The 19,303-nt window shown below is 39.9% G+C and overlaps 1 protein-coding gene across 10 annotated transcripts in view; it reads left to right on the forward strand.

Moving 5' to 3' along the window:
* Positions 1–19,303, forward strand: part of DCBLD1 (discoidin, CUB and LCCL domain containing 1) — an 87,185-nt gene that overhangs the window by 22,904 nt on the left and 44,978 nt on the right. For all 10 annotated transcript variants that reach the window (NR_158983.2, NM_173674.3, XM_047418676.1 and 7 more), the window contains 2 exons: positions 14,239–14,373; positions 15,948–15,999. Coding sequence is in view for 9 of the 10 variants with exons in the window: in NM_173674.3 (NP_775945.1) it covers positions 14,239–14,373; positions 15,948–15,999 (187 nt within the window). In the remaining variant the exon portion in view is untranslated. The remainder of the gene's footprint in view (positions 1–14,238; positions 14,374–15,947; positions 16,000–19,303) is intronic.

Here is a 19,303-nt window from a genome sequence, read left to right on the forward strand (position 1 = left end):
AAATCTTCCCAAAGCAGGATGTGGAGAATGGATGTGGCTTTCCCACACCAGGGAGTTTCCTCCATCATCTTTGAGGTATATTCATAAATATACACAAAGGCAGAAAAGGTCAGGGGCGGTGGCTTATGCCTGTAATCCTAACACTGGGAGGCCTAGGAGGAATGATCGCTTGAGCTCAGGAGTTCAAGCGATACAGCCTGGGCAACACAGTGAGACCCCCATCTCTACATTGTAAGAGAAAAAAGGCAGAAAAGAATGGAATTAGCTACGTATCTCAAGCTAGCTTGCAAGGTGATCATGGTCTGCCTCAGGGTGTTATCCTCCCCATTTCTAGGTTCTTGAGCTTTCAAGCTTAGATGCATCACTAGAAGATGAATAATGAGTTGCAATTCATTCGCAGCAATAAAGCCAATTAATTTTTCTCCTTGAATTTTTTTCTGTATAAATTGAACGTTTGTCTTTTGAAAATAAAATGTATGCTCATCTGTATTATTATTATCATTCATTATTATAGAAATAAACATATTCAGTGCCTATTGTATGCCAGGCACCTGCTTGGCTCTTACATATATTTTCTAGAATCCCCTAATCCACCTTCCAAGGTAAATATTATCAATGCCTTTCCACAGGTGGGGAAACCGAGGCACAGTGTGATTAGGTGAACATGCCCAAGATCCCAAGAGTGTACAATTAGGGGTGAAAGAGAGATTTATATCTGTGTCTCTGTGGCTGCAAGACACCTACTCCCACTGCTGTTGTCTCCTGGTTTCACCATCACCAAAAAAACCACATTGCACTATCATCCTTCCCAGGTGGACTGGCCCATTATTACATTATACAGCAATTTCGTCTAAAACACAAGAAGTAGGTAGTATTTTTGATTGAGGATGTGCTTAAGATAAACTATGTAGTGATGCTCAGAATTTGTGTTGTGGCTACTTTAAAGATTTCCTTTGACCAAAAACACTAACCAGACCTATATTTTAACTTAGTTAAATAAACCCCTGGTCTGTTTGAACATCCTCCAGGAATGCAGAAGGAGGAGGAGACAGAAGTGCTTTGTCTTTCAGTGGCTGGCGCTCAGAGAGTGGACATTCCTGTGCAGCTGTTGCCCAGCTTCCTGGAAGGGTGGAAGGGTGGGAGGCACCTCTGCAAGCTGATGTGGCCACAGGATCTGGCATGGCTGCAGAGGCAAGGCCCTAGTGCCCTTGCAGTGTCCCAAGGATCCAGAGCTATATTGCCTGAACCAGTAAAAGAAGGGAATGTCTGCTGAAATTCAGCAGGGAGAGAATGCATGTTCTGGAATACCACATTTAATTCCAAAATATGGTGGCTTCTAATGATTCTGTGTGTGGCTGAAACAGAAGAATCGTTTTAGTTTATCCTGCCCGATATTTTTTATTAACCAACTAATTGTTAAAACCCACTGCCAAAGGATTTTAAAACTTAAAACTATCAGAATTTGAATGTGGAGTTAATGTTTTGAAAAAGAATAATGTTTTCTGGCATTAATGTTTGCAGTGTCTGCCAAGAGTGGACATACTTGGAATGTGATTACATTAACCATTGTGAATATGCTAAAGTTGTATAGTGTTCATCATTATGCAGTTAATTTTTAATGGTTCCCCACCATGTCAATTTTGTTTTAAATATTTGGTTTATATACTTTGGGTATTTTGGTAATTCACATTCTTGCTAACAAAAATGCATTGTAAACAAGTGTAAACACCCACAACAACTTTCACAGTAATCCAGCAAAATATGCACTTGATCTCACTGTTTCCTAATACAGACAAAATGGGATTATTCTTCTTCTGTTTGTCATATATTATAATTACGGCTGATCTTTCAGATTCAAGAATCCATTAGAAGAATGTACTTGTATGCCTGTGGCTGAATTAAGACACTGAGATATGTGTGCTATTAATATTATCCTGGCCAAAACAAAACAAAAAATCTTTAAGAAGTATCATACTTTTCTTAGTAGATATCATTTTCACTATAGCTAAGGGAATTCTAGGTTTTTGTTTAACAGACCAAAGTAACTGAGACTCCCTTTGAAAAAATGCTAATATCCCTTTTCCAGTCTGTGATCCAATTCAGGATCATAAAGCAGTTACTTGTCCTGACTTCTCAGTCTTCCTTCATCTTTTGAGAATACTGACCAGTTATTTTACAGAATGTCTGTCAGTTGAGTTGGTTTGATGTTTCCTTGTGATTGAATTCAGATTATATATTCTGGGCAGACATAATACTACTACTTTTTAAAGTAATCTTTAAAAGGCTTGCTTATAACAGTTTCTAACATTAGAAATTATGAGGTCATGTGTCCCTTCAAGAATGAGAACTAAATCTGCATTACATTTCTTTGCTTCCCTCTTGACTGTTTGATTAAATGACTCTTCTTTTTTTCTATCAAAACTGCATTGATTTTTAGGTTATTTCAAGCTGAAGTGTCTTCCTGGAGCAGTTCTTTGTTCTTCAAAGAGGCCCATGTAATATGAAACTTTGAAAGGACTCAAATATAAGGTGTTGCCTTTTTGTAGAAGACAATTTTGGAGAAATTTGGACACATAAGATAATAGAAAGTTGATTAAGGTAGCCTACCCAGGCTGTTCTAGGATTGAACACACTTTGAAACCTGGAATTTGGAGATTCAGACAAGTGGTTTATTAAATAACATCTCTTTAAATTTAAACATATTGTGTAAGACATTTAAGATGACTGCCTTGGTCCTGTTCTCAGTTCCCCCCTCCCTCATTTTACATATATGTGGTAAAATAACAGGAGGTTAGTTATATAAAACACTGAAATATCTTACACTCTGAGGAAAAATAGCTGCTGATTCAGGCATTGTGTCACACTAATATACACAAATTTAAAATATTAAATATATAATGTTGTATTTATTTATAACACTGAAGAGGGAAGACTTTGCATTCATACTAAAGATACTACTCTTAACTTTACAGCTCTTTAGTGACCATGTAACCTTGACTTGCCCTCTGGGTAAATTCCATTTCCAGTCTTGCTGACCAGAATGGACTTAGAGATTTGAATTTACTCAGAGGTTTGTTTTTGCCCCCACTGCCTGTAGGGACCTCAGAGGAGGTCATTTCTGTTTTCCTGATCTTTCAATAAGGTTGGGTCCGAGTTTTCCCTTGAAAGGTGACCTCCACACTGGATGGAGTTTGGGGTGGGTCCGGGACTGCCTGAAGAGCTGTTGGAGCAGTCTTGGTAGGAACCAGACGCTGGCCAGTCTTCATAGGCATCTCAGGGTCTCAAAGGAGGTTGTTCTGATGGAGACTTCTAGACGTTACCACCTGGATCAGTGTAGATCAATAAAACCAGGCTGGCCTTGAAAATGGATTGAAATTTTTGTTGCTGCATAGATATTACACGTGTGTTTAAGAGCACAAACTCTGTAATTAGACTCCCTTGCCTCAAATTCCTGCCTACTCACAAGTGTGAGCCACCGCGCCTGGCCCTGACTGCTTATTTCTAAATTGGTTGACCTTGAGCAAATTATTTAAACTTTCTGTGTCTCTATTCCCTCATATTTAAAATGGGCAGGCCAGGTGCGACATCTCATACCTGTAATCTCAGCAGTTTGCGAGGCTGAGGTGGATGAATCACTTGAGCTTAGGAATTTGAGACTAGGTTGGACAACATGGCAACCCCCCATCTCTACAAAAAATACAAAGATTAGCTGGGCATGGTGATACATGCCCGTAGTCCCAGCTACTTGGGAGGTTGAGGCAAGAGGATCACTTGAATTCAGATGGTCAAGGCTACAGTGAGCCATGTCGTGCCACAACACTCCAACCTGAGTGACAGACGGAGACACTGTCTCAAAATAAAATAAAACAAAATGGGCAAAATAATAGTATCTACCACATATAGGTGACTGGCACACTTATATATGACTTTAAAGGATGACACCTGGTACATAGTAAGCACTTAGTCAACGTTAGCCATTATTTTTCCTCCTCCTTCCCTATCCTCTGCCCCTCTACTTTACTCTTCCCCTCCCTCTTCCCAGCCGCCTCTTCTTCTTCCTCCTCCTGAGTTGTCTTGCCTACTGTTAATATTGTTTGTCTAAGATGTGCCCTTGTTCCCCTCGTAATACCCTGAGCACTCTCTGTTCACCAGGCAGAGGCTGAGCTCCAGCAGCACACCCTACCCTACTCCTCCTGGTGGATTCCTGGTAATCCAAGAGTTTGCCCAAATCATGCCAAGCTGGTGGCAAGGGTTCACTGAACCAGAACTAGCTCCATATACAGGTTTTCCCAGCCTCATGAGATGAACAGAGAACACATATTCTCCAAGCCACAGTATATTCAATTTGGTTGTTTTATTTACTTCACTGCCACTGCCAGTCTACGTCTTTGCATCTTTTTCTCCTTGAAGAACCTCTTGATTTTTCTCCTCTCTCTTTTCACCAGTCTCAGTTCCTTCCAGGCCATCTAATGTTGTGTAATTAAAAATAGTTGCAATAATTTCTTTCCTTAGTTCAAAAATTGTTAATTGTGCCCCACTTCTACAGAAACTTGCTAGCTTAGCGTTGATGCATCATCTTGCTTTCTTCTTCACTCTCACTTCTAGCCTCATCTCTGAGTCCTTCATCTCCATGCCATTTCCCAAATGCATCATACGGTTTCATGGCCTAGTACATTTTTACAGTCGTTGATGTTATTCCTTCCATGTCCCCCTCTTTTTCTTCTTTTCCTGCTTTTTCTGTCCCTTCTAACACACACAGACACAGACACACACACAGACACAGACACACACACACACACACACACGTAAAAGTAAACCCTTCAAGTTTCAAATTCAGGGCTGCCTACCCTAGAACCTTCTCTGATGTTCATCAGTTTGTCCCTTTTCTGTGCTCATGTTCTCTTTCTAAAGTTTCAGTAGAGCATCAGTTTCGGGTTGGGATAATTATTTTAGCTTCTCTGTCAGATACGGGATGCCCTGAGCCAGGAATTACGTTTTATTCATGCTCTTTTATTCACCTAATATTTAGCATCGTCTTACAATTGCAGATGTTCAGTCAGTGTTTTAGGACTGAGATTATAAGTAGCTTGATTTTGGCAAACATATTAAAAAATCTGGATTTTTACAAAAGAGAAATTGGAGTGTCATTATTCACACTGTAGGGAAATTTACACTAAGATTCCTCTATAAACATTCCCTCTGCATTTAAAGAAAGCTTTGGTTTACATAAAATTTTAAAACTATGCTTATTATGTGGAAAAGACCATGTAATAATGTGGAAGGTGCCTGTGAGTGAGCATTCAACTATGTGCGATGCACTGGGCTTAGTAAACCTTAGCGTTACTACCTCATTTAACCCTTATAACAGCCCTGTGAGATAGGTCCTGTTACCAACCTTTACACCTAAGGAAACTGAAGCTCAAAGAAGGCCAACTAACATGCTTGTAAGATCACTTAGCGGGACCTGGGATTCAAGTCTGGGCATTTGAGGCCCTGCTCAAATGCCCAGAGGCCCTACTCTTTAGCTCTGCACCATCCGATTCAGTGTTTGTGTTGAAAGCCATCTGTTCCTGTGGCTTGTGCATAAGAAGACCTGAGGTGTAGTTCTTGTTCGTCACTTGCTGGAAGAAATGGAAACTTCTCCAGGCCTCTCCACAGGAGTATCCGGAGAATAAAGTGGGAGTCTGAGAAATCACTTACGTAGAGTTCCAGTATAAGTTGAAAGTTCAAAAAATGTTTTTTAGTCAAAATGCTAAGAGGAGGCATGGTGGCCAGTGATAGAAAGAAACTCTTTACTATAGGATCCTAATGGAAGTTAAATTGGTTGTGTTCTGCATAATGATTTGCACCAGGAAGTTCAAAAATTGTTCTCCTACGTTTTCTGTACCTCCACTTCCAATCACAATATTTTTTTAAGCATTGTCAGTGACTTAGAAGCACAATCATGTGAAGTCAACTGTTAATGTTTATGTTACACTAGGAATGAGAGAAATAGGAATAGTTGGAAATAATGCGAAGTGGTTAGACTCATAATCACAACAGGTTTCTGCATGTCATTTTTTAGAATGATACATATCTGACATATTGCAATAAGATCTAATAATTACAACTTATCTGTTGAAGTTTTTTAAATCCCAAAGAGGGGAAAGCGCAAGATTGACAGTCTCTGTTTTACAAATGGTTTATATGTCTCTCAGACATATTATGAAGTAGAAGGAAAAATTTTTATGGCTTTTAAAGATAAAACAAATAGACTTCAAGGAAATTTCCAGCTCACAGAGAGCTGTTTTGGGCTGCAGACACCCTAGAAGTGCGTCCTCCTCTATGGTTGAGGCTACTTTGGTGGAAATTATTGAGAAGGACTGCTTTTTCTTTGTTTGTTTTATTTTGCCTTTTATGCCAAGATAGAATTCAGAAAGAATCTTGAACATATAAAACGTTATATCAGCCAGAATGCTGTACTCTAGGTATTTTTTTTAACACAACCATAAGCCTCAAGGAGAAAAAGCTATTGGGTTCCTCCTCCTCTTTCCCCATAAATACTTCCCTGGAGACTCACTGTGATTCAGTTTCAGTAATTGCCATCTTTCATTGGGAGAGAAGTAATGGCTTAAGTGGGTTGTGAACTCCCAGCGTTGACACACTTCTTGACCTGGGTCCTGTAGCCCCAAGGAAAGCCACACCTTTGTCTAAGAATCCGCCTGCTTCATTTATCATCTGTCACTGATTTTTGTGTGGGAATGAGAGACCAAAATTCTCCAGGGATACCACTTACTGTTACGTGACTATGGTTTTAATGGCACAGTCCAGGAATATCCCTTTTTTATGCTAATTTCTCTCCTTTTCAAAGAAAATGGCCTTGAAAATTCTGTAATGTTGTACAATGACCCTACTGCAATTAGCAAGCAAGGACAAATCTGCGATTTGACTGCATCAAAAACAAATTGAAAATGGACACAAATCTAATGGTGTTTGCAGCTTCAGCATTTCTGGAGATTGTTTTATCAGCATACCTCTGAGCACAGATCTGGGCCACGAGAAGTACCACTCGCCTGGCAGCCAAATATTCCATGTGGCTGTCTCCACCCACATGTACTCCCAGGGAGGGTCACTTAGGTCAATCAGGCATGTTCTTATCTGTCATAAGAAAGAATTGTGTGCTTCAGATGATGCTCCAGAAGGTTAATGAGGGTTTTTTGGAGGTTTTATGTTGTTGTTGTTGTCGATTTATGACAGACCTTTCAGGAGTTAGGTTTTTATTTGATCTCTCAGTGGTTTTTCCCACTGACAGTATGGTAGTTAAAAAAAAAATCAGAAATAATACTACTAAGGGAAAGAGGTTTCTTTGTTTCTCTAATGACATGCATACTATTTTTCAAACATGTCCCTTCTATATATAAAACAATAACTTAGTTTTATTAGTTTTAAGATCAAAACCTTATATCCATCTGAAGTGACTTGGAACAAACAGTTTTTAACCAAACCATCATTGCCTTGTAATGCCCAGAGTCTTGGGCACACAGTCCAGGAGAATAGAGAAGTACTATACATTGCTGTACAGATTGTCAGATTGCCAGAGAATCAAGAGGATTTCAGACTTGGCTTGTAGCAGACAGTTTATTCTTCCTTATAGGACAGCTTTCTTTTATTCACACATGGAAAGATAAAGGGTTTCCCTTGCAGCTGCTAATGAAATAGTAGCCCGAAACAGGGAATGTGCTGAGAGGAACTGACCTACTGTGCTCAAAGAAGGCAACTCCTACAGTTCCTGGCCCTTTATTCCCTTTGTCCAAGGAATCAGCCCATTGTCTGCTGGAGTCTCATGTCTGGTGCCAAATGCCACAGTGCTGTTCCATTTGGTATCTCTGATAGCTCTTCCCACAATATAGGGCCGCCAGTTACATTCCACAAAAGATAAAAGTTTTTCTTTTTTCCTGATTTTTCTGCCTACTTGATTAACTGCTGCACTCCAGTGTGATGGGAATTTGTGACTGCAAAGTAAGATGGAACCTGCCTTGCAGACAGGGATAGATAGAAGTGAGAGAATAGTAGGAAGTTAGGTGGCAAGTCCAAGTGCTATAAAACACGTAGCACTGCTGGTTCTGAAGCAAACATCCATGCAAAACTGTGCATCCTATTTTTAGGAAGGGGTTGGATTTCAGTCTGACTGAATTGAAGTATTTTTGCCAATCTAAGAACACTGCCTGAGCCCAAGAATATAACCACAATCAAAGTTAGAAGTCACCGCGCTCTCATGTGGGTTTCCAGTGAAATTGTCTTTGTAAACATTTAAATATAGGTGTAGATCCTTTTTAAAAGTCAGGAGACCTTTGGAGAGTACCAACAGTGAAGTATATCACGTGGGCAGGGGTGAGTGGAGAAAGATTTTCTTTCATAAGACAAGAGATTATCCTTAAAGGAGTCTGGCGGAGCACTGAGGACATTGCTTAGGACAGACTCCCAGGGTCTTTCCGTGGTTTCCCATTAATTATTTTTCCCTCTCAATGCTATCATATTTTTCCATTTTTCTTTCTTGCCTTTTAACTCTAGGAATGTAATTATTAACTTCTAGTCTATGAAAGGAATTTTCGTCTGTCAGACCTTGAGACAGGCAATAATTTGGATGTTTTGCCATAGGCAATACTACAGCCAGTATTCAACTCTTATCCCCCACCCTGAATTAAAACTCATTCTTGCTATTCTGATGTTTGTGATTATGATGAAATGATCAAAATAACTCTTCAGACCAGGCGCTGTGGCCCATGTTTGTAATCCCAGCACTTTGAGGAGGCTGAGATGGGAGGATTGCTTAAAGCCAGGAGCTTGAGACCAACCTGGGCAATGTAGTGAGACCTCATCTCTACAAAAAAAATCAAAAAATTAGCTGGACATGGTGGCACACACCTGTAATCCAGCTTCTTGGAAGGCTGAGGTGGAAGGATTGTTTGAGCCCAGGAGGAGCCGTGATCACGCCACTGCACTCCAACATGGGTGACAGAGAAAGACCCTGTCTCAAAAAAAAAAAAAAAAATCCTCTCAATGATGATATTTATATAGAGAGGGTATCTCCTACCCCTCTAGTTACAATTTTGCAGCACAGTAATAAAAATATGAAAGGGATTGATGTCTGTGTGGTAAGGGTAATTAAAGGGGCATGTGTTTACATTTTCCTTCTTTGATCTGCTTCCAGAAATAGTTACATGCCTATCATAACTGGGAGGATGAAACCAAATTAGAGTTTTACTATATTTACATGTTTTTGGTCTAGGAAATCATATATATTGCACAACAACTTAGTATGATGGTATACACTCTCATTTGTGTAAAATATGTATACTTTTTGCAACTTTTCCTTTCAACTGTTTCATAAAATCTAAAAAAAAAAATCTAAGCAAGTTCTCACTGATAATCAATTTAGACTTGCTTACCTTACAGTTTGTGGGTTTTTTTTTTTTTTTTTGAGACGGAGTCTTGTTCTATCACCCAGGCTGAAATGCAGTGGTGGGATCGTGGCTCACTGCAACCTCCACCCCCCAGGTTCAAGCAATTCTCCTGTCTCAGCCTCCCAAGTAGCTGGGATTACAGGCACCCACCACCATGCTCGGCTAATTTTTTTTGTATTTTTAGTAAAGATGGGGTTTCACCATGTTGACCAGGCTAGTCTCGAACTCCTGACCTCCTGACTCCGCTCACCTTGGCCTCCCACAGTGCTGGGATTACAGGCGTGAGCCACCGTGCCTGGCCACCTACAGTTTTCATTAGAACTCATTGGAATGCTATAGAAATTTAAGGAGAGATTACTATCATCATCACCATTTGGGGAGGGGTGTATTACTGGGTTAATATAAAAAAATGTGATTTGAAAATATTCTAACTTATTAAAAGCAACAAGTTACTAGTTACTTCACAATATTCATCCTTAGGTTTACAAAGCAAGTGTCTTCACCCCTCTTATCTGTGCAAAGAACAGAGGAATTTCAAACATATCTAAAACAAACAGAATAAGTTGGAAAAGGCAAGTACAGCAATCTGACTCACCTTAACTTTGCAAAAATGCTTATCATTCTACTTATTTAGTCTGAATTGCCTATCTGCTGTGCTTGTGAGCAAGAGTAAAGTTTATAAAAATCCATATTATTCATTACAGAAATTTTTTTCTTGTTTCTTTACACTTCTCTTCCTGACTTCTCCATAGTATTTAAAAGTGACACGATTAAAAATATTTTATGAATCTCTTAGTTGGATTTGGCTTTTAGAAACTGTTGTAAAAAGAGCATTTCAATTCAATTCAAACTGTTTGTGGGAGGCTGTCACCTGCCAGGTACTATGCAGTCTGTTGGAGATAAAGGGATGGATATAAAAGTTCCTTGCACTATGGAACACAGTCTGAAGAGAAAATAGGTATTACTTATTTTTTAATATATTCATTTTTAACAAGCACTTATATAGCTCTTACTATGTGCTGAGTACTATTCTAAGTAATTTGAAAGTATTGGTCGGGCGCGGTGGCTCACACCTGTAATCCCAGCACTTTCGGAGGCTGAGGCGGGCAGATCACGAGGTCCGGAGATCGAGACTATACTGGCTAACACAGTGAAACCCCATCTCTACTAAAAAAAAAAAAATACAAAAAATTAGCCAGGCGTGGTGGTGGGTGCCTGTAGTCCCAGCTACTCAGGAGGCTGAGACAGGAGAATGGTGTGAACCCAGGAGATGGAGCTTGTAGTGAGCCGAGATCATGCCACTGCACTCCAGCCTGGGGACAGAGCGAGACTCCATCTCAAAAAAAAAAAAAAGAAAGTATTAACTCATGTAAGTAATTACGTATGATGAGTGTTTCTAAAGAGGGAAGTGAACATCTTTTATTTAGATTTCACCATAATTTAGTGATAGGAAATGCTAGAAATTTGGCATGTGAGGGTAAGCATATAGCATTTCTTTCTTATTCTATCACATCTTCAGTATGTGAAACTTGAAACAGAGAGAAATTGGATCCTTTATACCAGAAGGGCAATGCTTAGTTGGGTCACGATCTTCTGACTCTTTAGCATGTGTATTGGTCCATTTTCATGCTGCTGATAAGGACATACCTGAGACTGGGCAATTTACAAAAGGTTTAATTGGACTTACAGTTCCACGTAGCTGGGGAAGCCTCAAATCATGGTGGAAGGCAAAAGGCACGTCTCACCTGGTGGCAGACAGGAGAAAAGAGCTTGTGCAGGGGAACTCCTTTTTTTAAAACCATCAGATCTCATGAGACTTATTCACTATCATGGGAACAGCATGGGAAAGACCTTCCTCCATGATTTAGTTACCTCCCACCGGGTCCCTCCCACAACACGTGGGAATTCAAGATGAGATTTGGGTGGGGACACCCAAACCATTATCATTTCGACCCTGGCCCCTCCCAAGTCTCATGTCCTCATATTTCAAAATCAATCATGCCTTCCCAACAGTCCCCCAAAGTCTTAACTCATTTCAGCATTAACTTAAAAGTCCACAGTCCAAATCTCATCTGAGACAAGGCAAGTCCCTTCTGCCTATGAGCCTGTAAAATCAAAAGCAAGTTAATTACTTCCTAGATACAATGTGGGTACTGGCATTGGGTAAATACAGCCATTCCAAATGGGGAGAAATTAGCCAAACAAAGGGGCTCAGGCCCCATGAAAGTCTGAAATCCAGTGGGGCAGTCAAATCTTAAAGCTCCAAAATGATCTCCTTTGACTCCATGTCTCACATGCAGGTCATGCTGATGCAAGAGGTGAGTTCCCATGCTTGGGCAGCTCCACCCCTGTGGCTTTGCAGGGTACAGCCTCCCTCCCCACTGCTTCCACAGGCTGGTGTTGAGTGTCTGTCGCTTTTTCAGGTGCAATGGATCTACCATTCTGGGGTCTGGTGGCCCCCTTCTCACAGCTACACTGGATGGTACCCCAGTAGGTACTCTGTGTGGGGGCTCTGACCCCACATTTCCCTTCTGCACTACCCAAGCAGAGGTTCTCTATGAGGGCCTCTGCAGCAAACATCTGCCTGGGCATCCAGACATTTCCATACGTCTTCTGAAATCTAGGTGGAGGTTCCCAAACCCCAATTCTTGACTTCCATGCACCTGCAGGCTCAACACCACATGGAAGCTGCCAAAGCTTGGGGCTTGCACCCTCTGAAGTCCTGGCCCGAGTTCTACGTTGTCCCCTTCCAGCCATAGCTGGAGCAGCTGGGACACAAGACACCAAGTTCCTAGGCTGCACACAGCACAGGGATGCTAGTCCTGGCCCAGGAAACCACTTTTTCCTCCTAGGCCTCTGGGTCTGTGATGGGAAGGGTTGCCTTGAAGACCTCTGACATGCCCTGGAGACATTTTCCACATTGTCTTGGGGATTAACATTCAGTTCTTCATTACTTATGTAAATTTCTGCAGCTGGCTTGAATTTCTCCTCAGAAAATGGGATTTTCTTTTCTATCGCACTGTCAGGCTGCAAATTTTCTGAACTTTTATGCTCTGCTTCCCTTATAAAACTGAATGCCTTTAACAGTACCCAAGTTACCTCGTGAATGCTTTCCTATTTAGAAATGTTTTCCACGTGATACCCTAAATCATCTCTCTCAAGTTCAAAGTTCCACAAATCTCTAAGGCAAGGGCAAAATGCCACCAGTCTCTTTGCTCAAACATAACAAGAGTCACCTTTGCTCCAGTTCCCAACCAGTTCTTCATTTCCATCTGAGACCACCTCAGCGTGGACATTATTGTCCATATCGCTATCAGCATTTTGGGCAAAACCATTCAACAAACCTCTAGGAAGTTCCAAACTTTCCCACATTTTCCTGTCTTCTTAGCCCTCCAAACTGTTCCAACCTCTGCCTGTTACCCAGTTCCAAAGTCACTTCCACATCTTCGGGTATCTTTTCAGCAGCACCCCACTCTACTGGCACCAACTTAACTGTATTAGTCCGTTTTCATGCTGCTGATAAGGACATACCTGAGACTGGGCAATTTACAAGAGAAAGGTTTAATTGGACTTACAGTCCCACATGGCTAGGAAAGCCTCAAATCATGGTAGAAGGCAAAAGACATGTCTCATATGGTGGCAGACAAAAGAAATGAGCTCGTGCAGGGGAACTCCTTTTTTAAAAAACCATCAGATCTCATGAGACTTATTCACTGTCATGAGAACAGCACGGGAAACACCTTCCCCCATGATTCAGTTACCTCCCACCAGGTCCCTCCCACAACACATGGGAATTCAAGATGAGATTTAGGTGGGGACACAGCAAAACCATATCAAGCAGTTTTGTCCCTATTGGTTCTGGTTAATATAACCCGGTTTTATTCGTATTGACTTGGAGCAGTCTTTTTCTTTTATTCTTCTTCCTTCATCATGATTGTTGTTGCCGCTGACTATTTCCATACTGTTTTTGAGAAAAGTTAATAAATAATACCTCTCTTCAAAATTTGCTTGCTAATCTCTATTTCATAGAGATTGTCTTGCGTATGTTACTTTCGAAATGACAAGTTAAAAGCTAAACTTCAGTTTGAGTAGTCTTAGGAAGAGTTTTCGTTATTTTAAGCTCCAAATGTAATTTTGCCCTTTGAAAGTTCATTGAGATCCCTATTGCTTTTCAAGCAACTTATTTTGGAAACAATGTTATACCCTTAATTGTATAATTTTGTACTATAATATTTCAAAATGCTTTAGAAATTATTCTGCTTTTATGTACATTTTATAAATCAAAATGAATTTTGGGGATTAACCAGAAGTTACTGTAAAGGAAAATCAGTGTGTATGCTGCATGTGAATGCTGCATGTGAATAAAATTCTTACCATGCTTTGCAAAGTCTTTTAACTTTAAAACTTCCCCGAAAAAATGATTTTTTTAGTTTATTTGAGCAAATTTAGGAGGCCCCTAGAATAACATTTTTGTAATAAAATTTTCTTTACTACCTAATGTGTTTGACCTTTGTCTTCTTTTTACAAAAAACAAAACCTATCTCTTGGGTTGCTCACAGTTAACTAGTTCCAGCCTATTGCTTGTCTAGAGTAAGCCACTTTCCCCCTTGGCTTAGTTCACAATCAGTCAGAAATTATCAGTCTGAGCGTCAAGCTAAATTTCAGTTGGTAAAGATTATAATCATACATATGTATTGTCTAGTAAATTTGGCCTTTCAAGGAAAAAAATGCCATATACCAGTCATTTGTGCTGGTATAAATTTTGAAATGTGCCACAAGTGTGCTTTGTTTTTAGGTCCATACTGTGGAAGTATGACTGTTCCCAAAGAACTCTTGTTGAACACAAGTGAAGTAACCGTCCGCTTTGAGAGTGGATCCCACATTTCTGGCCGGGGTTTTTTGCTGACCTATGCGAGCAGCGACCATCCAGGTATAACGGAAGAATCAACACAAATCTCTAAATGTTATCTGTCTAAGAATTCCTCTTGCCACTTATCCCCATCCCTGGACATAATTGTGGACTCAGATGCAGAATTAAGATATGAGGGAGAAGAGGAACATGGTATCTTTGTAAATGGTTAGGTCTGAACTGAATCATATTGCAGCACAGGTGTGTCCAATCTTTTGGCTTCCCTGGGCCACATTAGAAGAAGAATTGTCTTGGGGCCACACATAAAATACACTAACAATAGCTGATGAGCTAAAAAAAATTTGCAAAAAATTTTTATAATTATGTTTTACGAAACTTTAGGAATTTGTGTTGGGCTGCATCCAAGGCCATCCTGGGCTGCATGTGGCCCAAGGGGCATGGGTTGGACAAGCTTATTAGCATGTTAGATTGATCAGTTGACTTATATGGGATAGGATTCATCTCATTTTTCCTAAAAACCTTGGATAACACACTTTTGTGTTCCCCTCCTGACCCTTCGAAGTCTTCACTATTCTCTGGAGCCCTCCCCCATCCTCCTCCCTAGCTCAGGGGCAACGCTTTTCACCAGTGAGCCCCTCCGCAACACACGCCAGTACACCAGCACGGGAGGCATGCACAGTGTGTGTAGGATGAGGAAGTCAGTGTCACACAGTGTAATAACTTTAAAGCTGAAAACTTGTATGGGAGAGAAGGGAAGGGAAACACGAACACTGATGAGAGAGAGAAGCACGGGCTCCTGTCCTGGGCTCTTGTGCTTCAGAGTAATTCTGTGCAGCCCATACCAAATCTGCCTATGGTCATAGAGGTTTCTGCTGTCAGTCCTCTCTGGCAGAAAAGCTCTGGGAGTGAGGTGCGCCATTCATTTTCCTCTTAGCCAATCAGCTCTGACTAATCACAGCAGATGCCTGCATTGCCAGTGTTCACCATATATTGCTCCCAAAGAACTATTACAGTAAGTGTGGAATATTTTGGAAACCATACTATGTTGATCTAAATGCATCAAGGTCCACTGTATCTTAGCCTCTATTGCTGAATATTAGTTTGGTTCTGTAAATTACTCCAGAGAGCACCTTCTTTTTTAAAATGCTTTGTCCTGGTTGATGAAAGCTTATATGCTGTAGGTTTTCTTGGTAAAGATGTGCTTCTCTGTCACCAGATGCCACTGGCTAAATTGTTGAATTAAAATGTTTGTGGGAACCTTCTCTGTGAACTGTGTTGGGCTTTTGAAATTATTTTCTTCCTGCCAGGGGACATTATACACATGGTCTTCATAGGCATATAGTGGATAGCAACTAAAGAGTATTGTTTTTTTCTGTTAACTACAGATTCTGCTATCATTTACTAGGTGATTGTGTTGAAAAACTGTCATTGGTGGCAGAAAAAAGAAACGAAAGGAACTCATTAAATACTGGAGACAGTGATTCTCAGTGTTTATTTTTAAAAGGAAAATTCTGATAACTACATAGTGAATAAATGCTTTTTAAAAACTCTTTTATTTTAAAAGAAAGCTTTGCAGCATGAGTGTCCTAGTTTTTATTCATTCTATTAATTGCAATTATCTTTATTTATGACAGATTTAATAACATGTTTGGAACGAGCTAGCCATTATTTGAAGACAGAATACAGGTAAGTATAGGTATCCTAACTGTGTTGCAGTCGTGTATTGCTGAACATTTTGTTTTCTTTCACGTTAAACCAGATACGTTTGTACTTAAAGCTCTTTTTACCATTCATGTTGTAACTAATGAGGAATATTTGAAATAGTTTGTTATATAGCAGGAAGTCAGCAAACCTTTTCTGTCAAGGGGTAGATAATAAATATTTCAGGTTTTCCAGGCCATACAATCTCTGTTGCATTTATTCATATAATCTCTGTTGCTGTTGTAGCAAAAAAGCAACCATAGACACCATGTATACACTAACAGACATGCTGTGTTTCAATAAAACTGTATTTACCAAAACATCAGTAGGGCGGATTTGGCTCACAGGCCATAGTTTGCTGACCCCTGAGTTCCACTATAGGGCCAATGAATCATTACCGAGTCTAGACTGTATTTTTTTTCCTGGCTGGTATTTGGGAGTGACCTTTAAAATTCTTTCATTTGGGAGGAGGTGCATTTTGTCTTTACCACTAGAGAAAAACCTACTGCAAATAAGATGAAAATTTTCAACCCAGCTTTAGCTGGAAAAACTACTTAGTCACTTTGATGTACATTTGCTCATCTATCAAGTAAAACAGTCTAAAGCAGAATTTCTTAGCCTTGGCACTATTGATATTTTGGTCAGATAATTCTTTATATTGCAGGGCTGTCCTGTGCGTCGTTAGATACTTAGCAGCATCCCTGGCCTCTATGTCCTAGATGTCAGTTGTGATAACCAAGAATGTCTCCAGACATTGCCAAATGTCTCATGGTGGGCAGAATCGCCCCCAGTGGAGAGCCACTAGTCTAGAGATCATTGTCAACAACACTAACAAAAACTATGACTGTTTTTTTTTTTCTCTTTTTATGAAAGAGTGTCTTGCTCTTTTGCCCAGGCTGGAGTGCAGTGGTATAATTATAGCTCACTACAGCCTCAAACTCCAGGGCTCAAAGTATGCTCCTGCCTCAGCCTCCCAAGTAGCTGGGACGACAGGTGTGCACCATCATACCTGGCTAATTTTTAAATTTTTTTAGAAATGGGTGTCTTTCTATATTGTCCAAGCTGATCTCTAACTTCTGGACTCAGCTTCCCAAAGTGCTGGGATTACAAGTGTGAATCATGGCACCCAGCTATGACTCTCTAGAGTGCTTTCCTAGTGCTCGATATAGCTGTCTGCACTTAGCACAGAGTAAGTAGCTCTTGTGACCATTTCAACATGTCTGCAAGGAAGGTTCTGTTACATCCTAAAAACCAAAGTACAAACCAATTAAGACTTGCTGAGGGCTACACACCTCGTAAGTGTAGCCTGGGAGTCAGACTTAAGAGCCTGTGGTCCTATCTCAGACATTTGGACATTCTAATGAATGAGATTATTTTATGTGCAGAAACAACTCTAGTGTTAACTAATATTATGTCTAATAGGGGGAAAAATGAAAATGAGTGATAATTAAATATTGGTTTTAAAGTTACTGTTCATCCAATATACACATATGCCAGTATTATCTATTATAGCTATACCTCTACAGTCCCAGTTGGTGATAGGGCCTCTGGACATCAAATGGTCATTTCCTGTTCTCCTAAAGAAAGGGAATATATCCAAGCTTACAGGGTGGCATTATGGTGCCAGATTATCTCAGCTTTAGCCCAGCCATTTTGTAGTGTTTAGATTAAAGATAAGGCCTGGTGACTGATACAGGTCCACAAGCCCTCATCCATAATTATGAAGTATAGAAAGTTTTGAAAGCCTTTTGTAACTCATTTGGTGGTGATTCTTGATTAATGTGACCTTAAATTCGTTTGACAGCAAAATTGGACTAGATTAACATGTCTTTACATATGTTATTTAATATGATTATTAAGGCATTTGACACAAGTATTTTAATGTTTTTTATTAATGTGTGCAGACCCCACCAGCGTATTACATCATATACATCATTAGAACTGTTTTACTTTTCTAGAATCCAAGAAATTCTGAATTCTGAAATACAGCTGATTCTAAGGGAATTGGCTCTAGGGAATTGTTACCCTGTAATGGGAATTCCCATTATTTTTATTTCTTAATTCCGCGAGTACTGCTGCAATGCAGGGACTCCAAAAGGTCAATGGGAAAAAATTATGGAATATTTATTTGGATAGTTTTGATAATTAGTTGTTACATATATAATTTGCCAAGGCAGCAGGAGGACACTGAGAGGAAATGAAATAAAAACAACTTCTATTCTGGAATCTGTTTGGGCTGGTACACTCTTTTTAAACAAACCAAGTAAACATTATGTAAAGTGGTGTCTATATAGAAGTAAGGGCACATGGCATGCATCTTCAAAGCTGACAACATTTTTATAATACTTTGGCTTCCTTTTTGTGTGTTTTTTATAGATGTTTATAGCTGTCTTCATATCTTGTTGATATGTTGACACTTGAAGGGACTAGAGATGAAGAAACAATCTAAGAGAGATTATATGCAATATCAGGGTCCCACTGCTAGCTAGGTAGTGCTGGAGCCTGTGTCACTCTGCTCCTAACACTGACACCCTTCAGCTGCACCACATACTATGACATGTTTCTGGAAAGTTTCTTGAAAAATGACTGTTAAGTAAATTGAATCCTAATTTTTTTTTTTTTTTTGAGACGGAGTTTTGCTCTTGGTCCCCAGGCTGGAGTACAGTGGCGCAATCTGGTCTCACTGCAAACTCCGCCTCCCAGGTTCAAGTGATTCCCTCCTGCCTCAGCCTCCCAAGCAGCTGGGATTACAGGCGTCTGCCACCACACCGGGCTAATTTTTTTGTATTTTTAGTAGAGATGGGGTTTCACCATGTTGGCCAGTCTGATCTCAAACTCCAGACCTCAGGTTATCCACCCGCCTTGGCCTCCCAAAGTGCTGAGATTACAGGCGTGAGCCACTGTGTCCGGCCTTGGAATCCTAATTTTAAAATATATCCTTTTTTTCTGATTGCAAAAGTATTTCATAACTAATGTAGGCCAGACCATCTAATACGGTAGCCACTAGCCACGGGTACCTAATGAGCACTTGAACTGTGGTGAGTGCAAATTGAGGGGTGTTGTATAAAATGCACCCCAGATTTTGGAAGTTAAATCAAAAAAAGAGAAAATATCTTATTGGTATTTATTTCTGTTTATTACATTTAGAAATGATAAAATTTGAACATGCTGGATTAAATAGAATATATTATTAATTTTGCATATTTCTTTTTACTTTTTAAAAATGTGACTACTCGAATATTTAAATTTGTATATGTGGCTCCCATTATATTTCTATCAGACAGTGCTA

This window comes from Homo sapiens, chromosome 6, assembly GCF_000001405.40.
Source record: "Homo sapiens chromosome 6, GRCh38.p14 Primary Assembly".
NCBI lineage: Eukaryota > Metazoa > Chordata > Mammalia > Primates > Hominidae > Homo > Homo sapiens.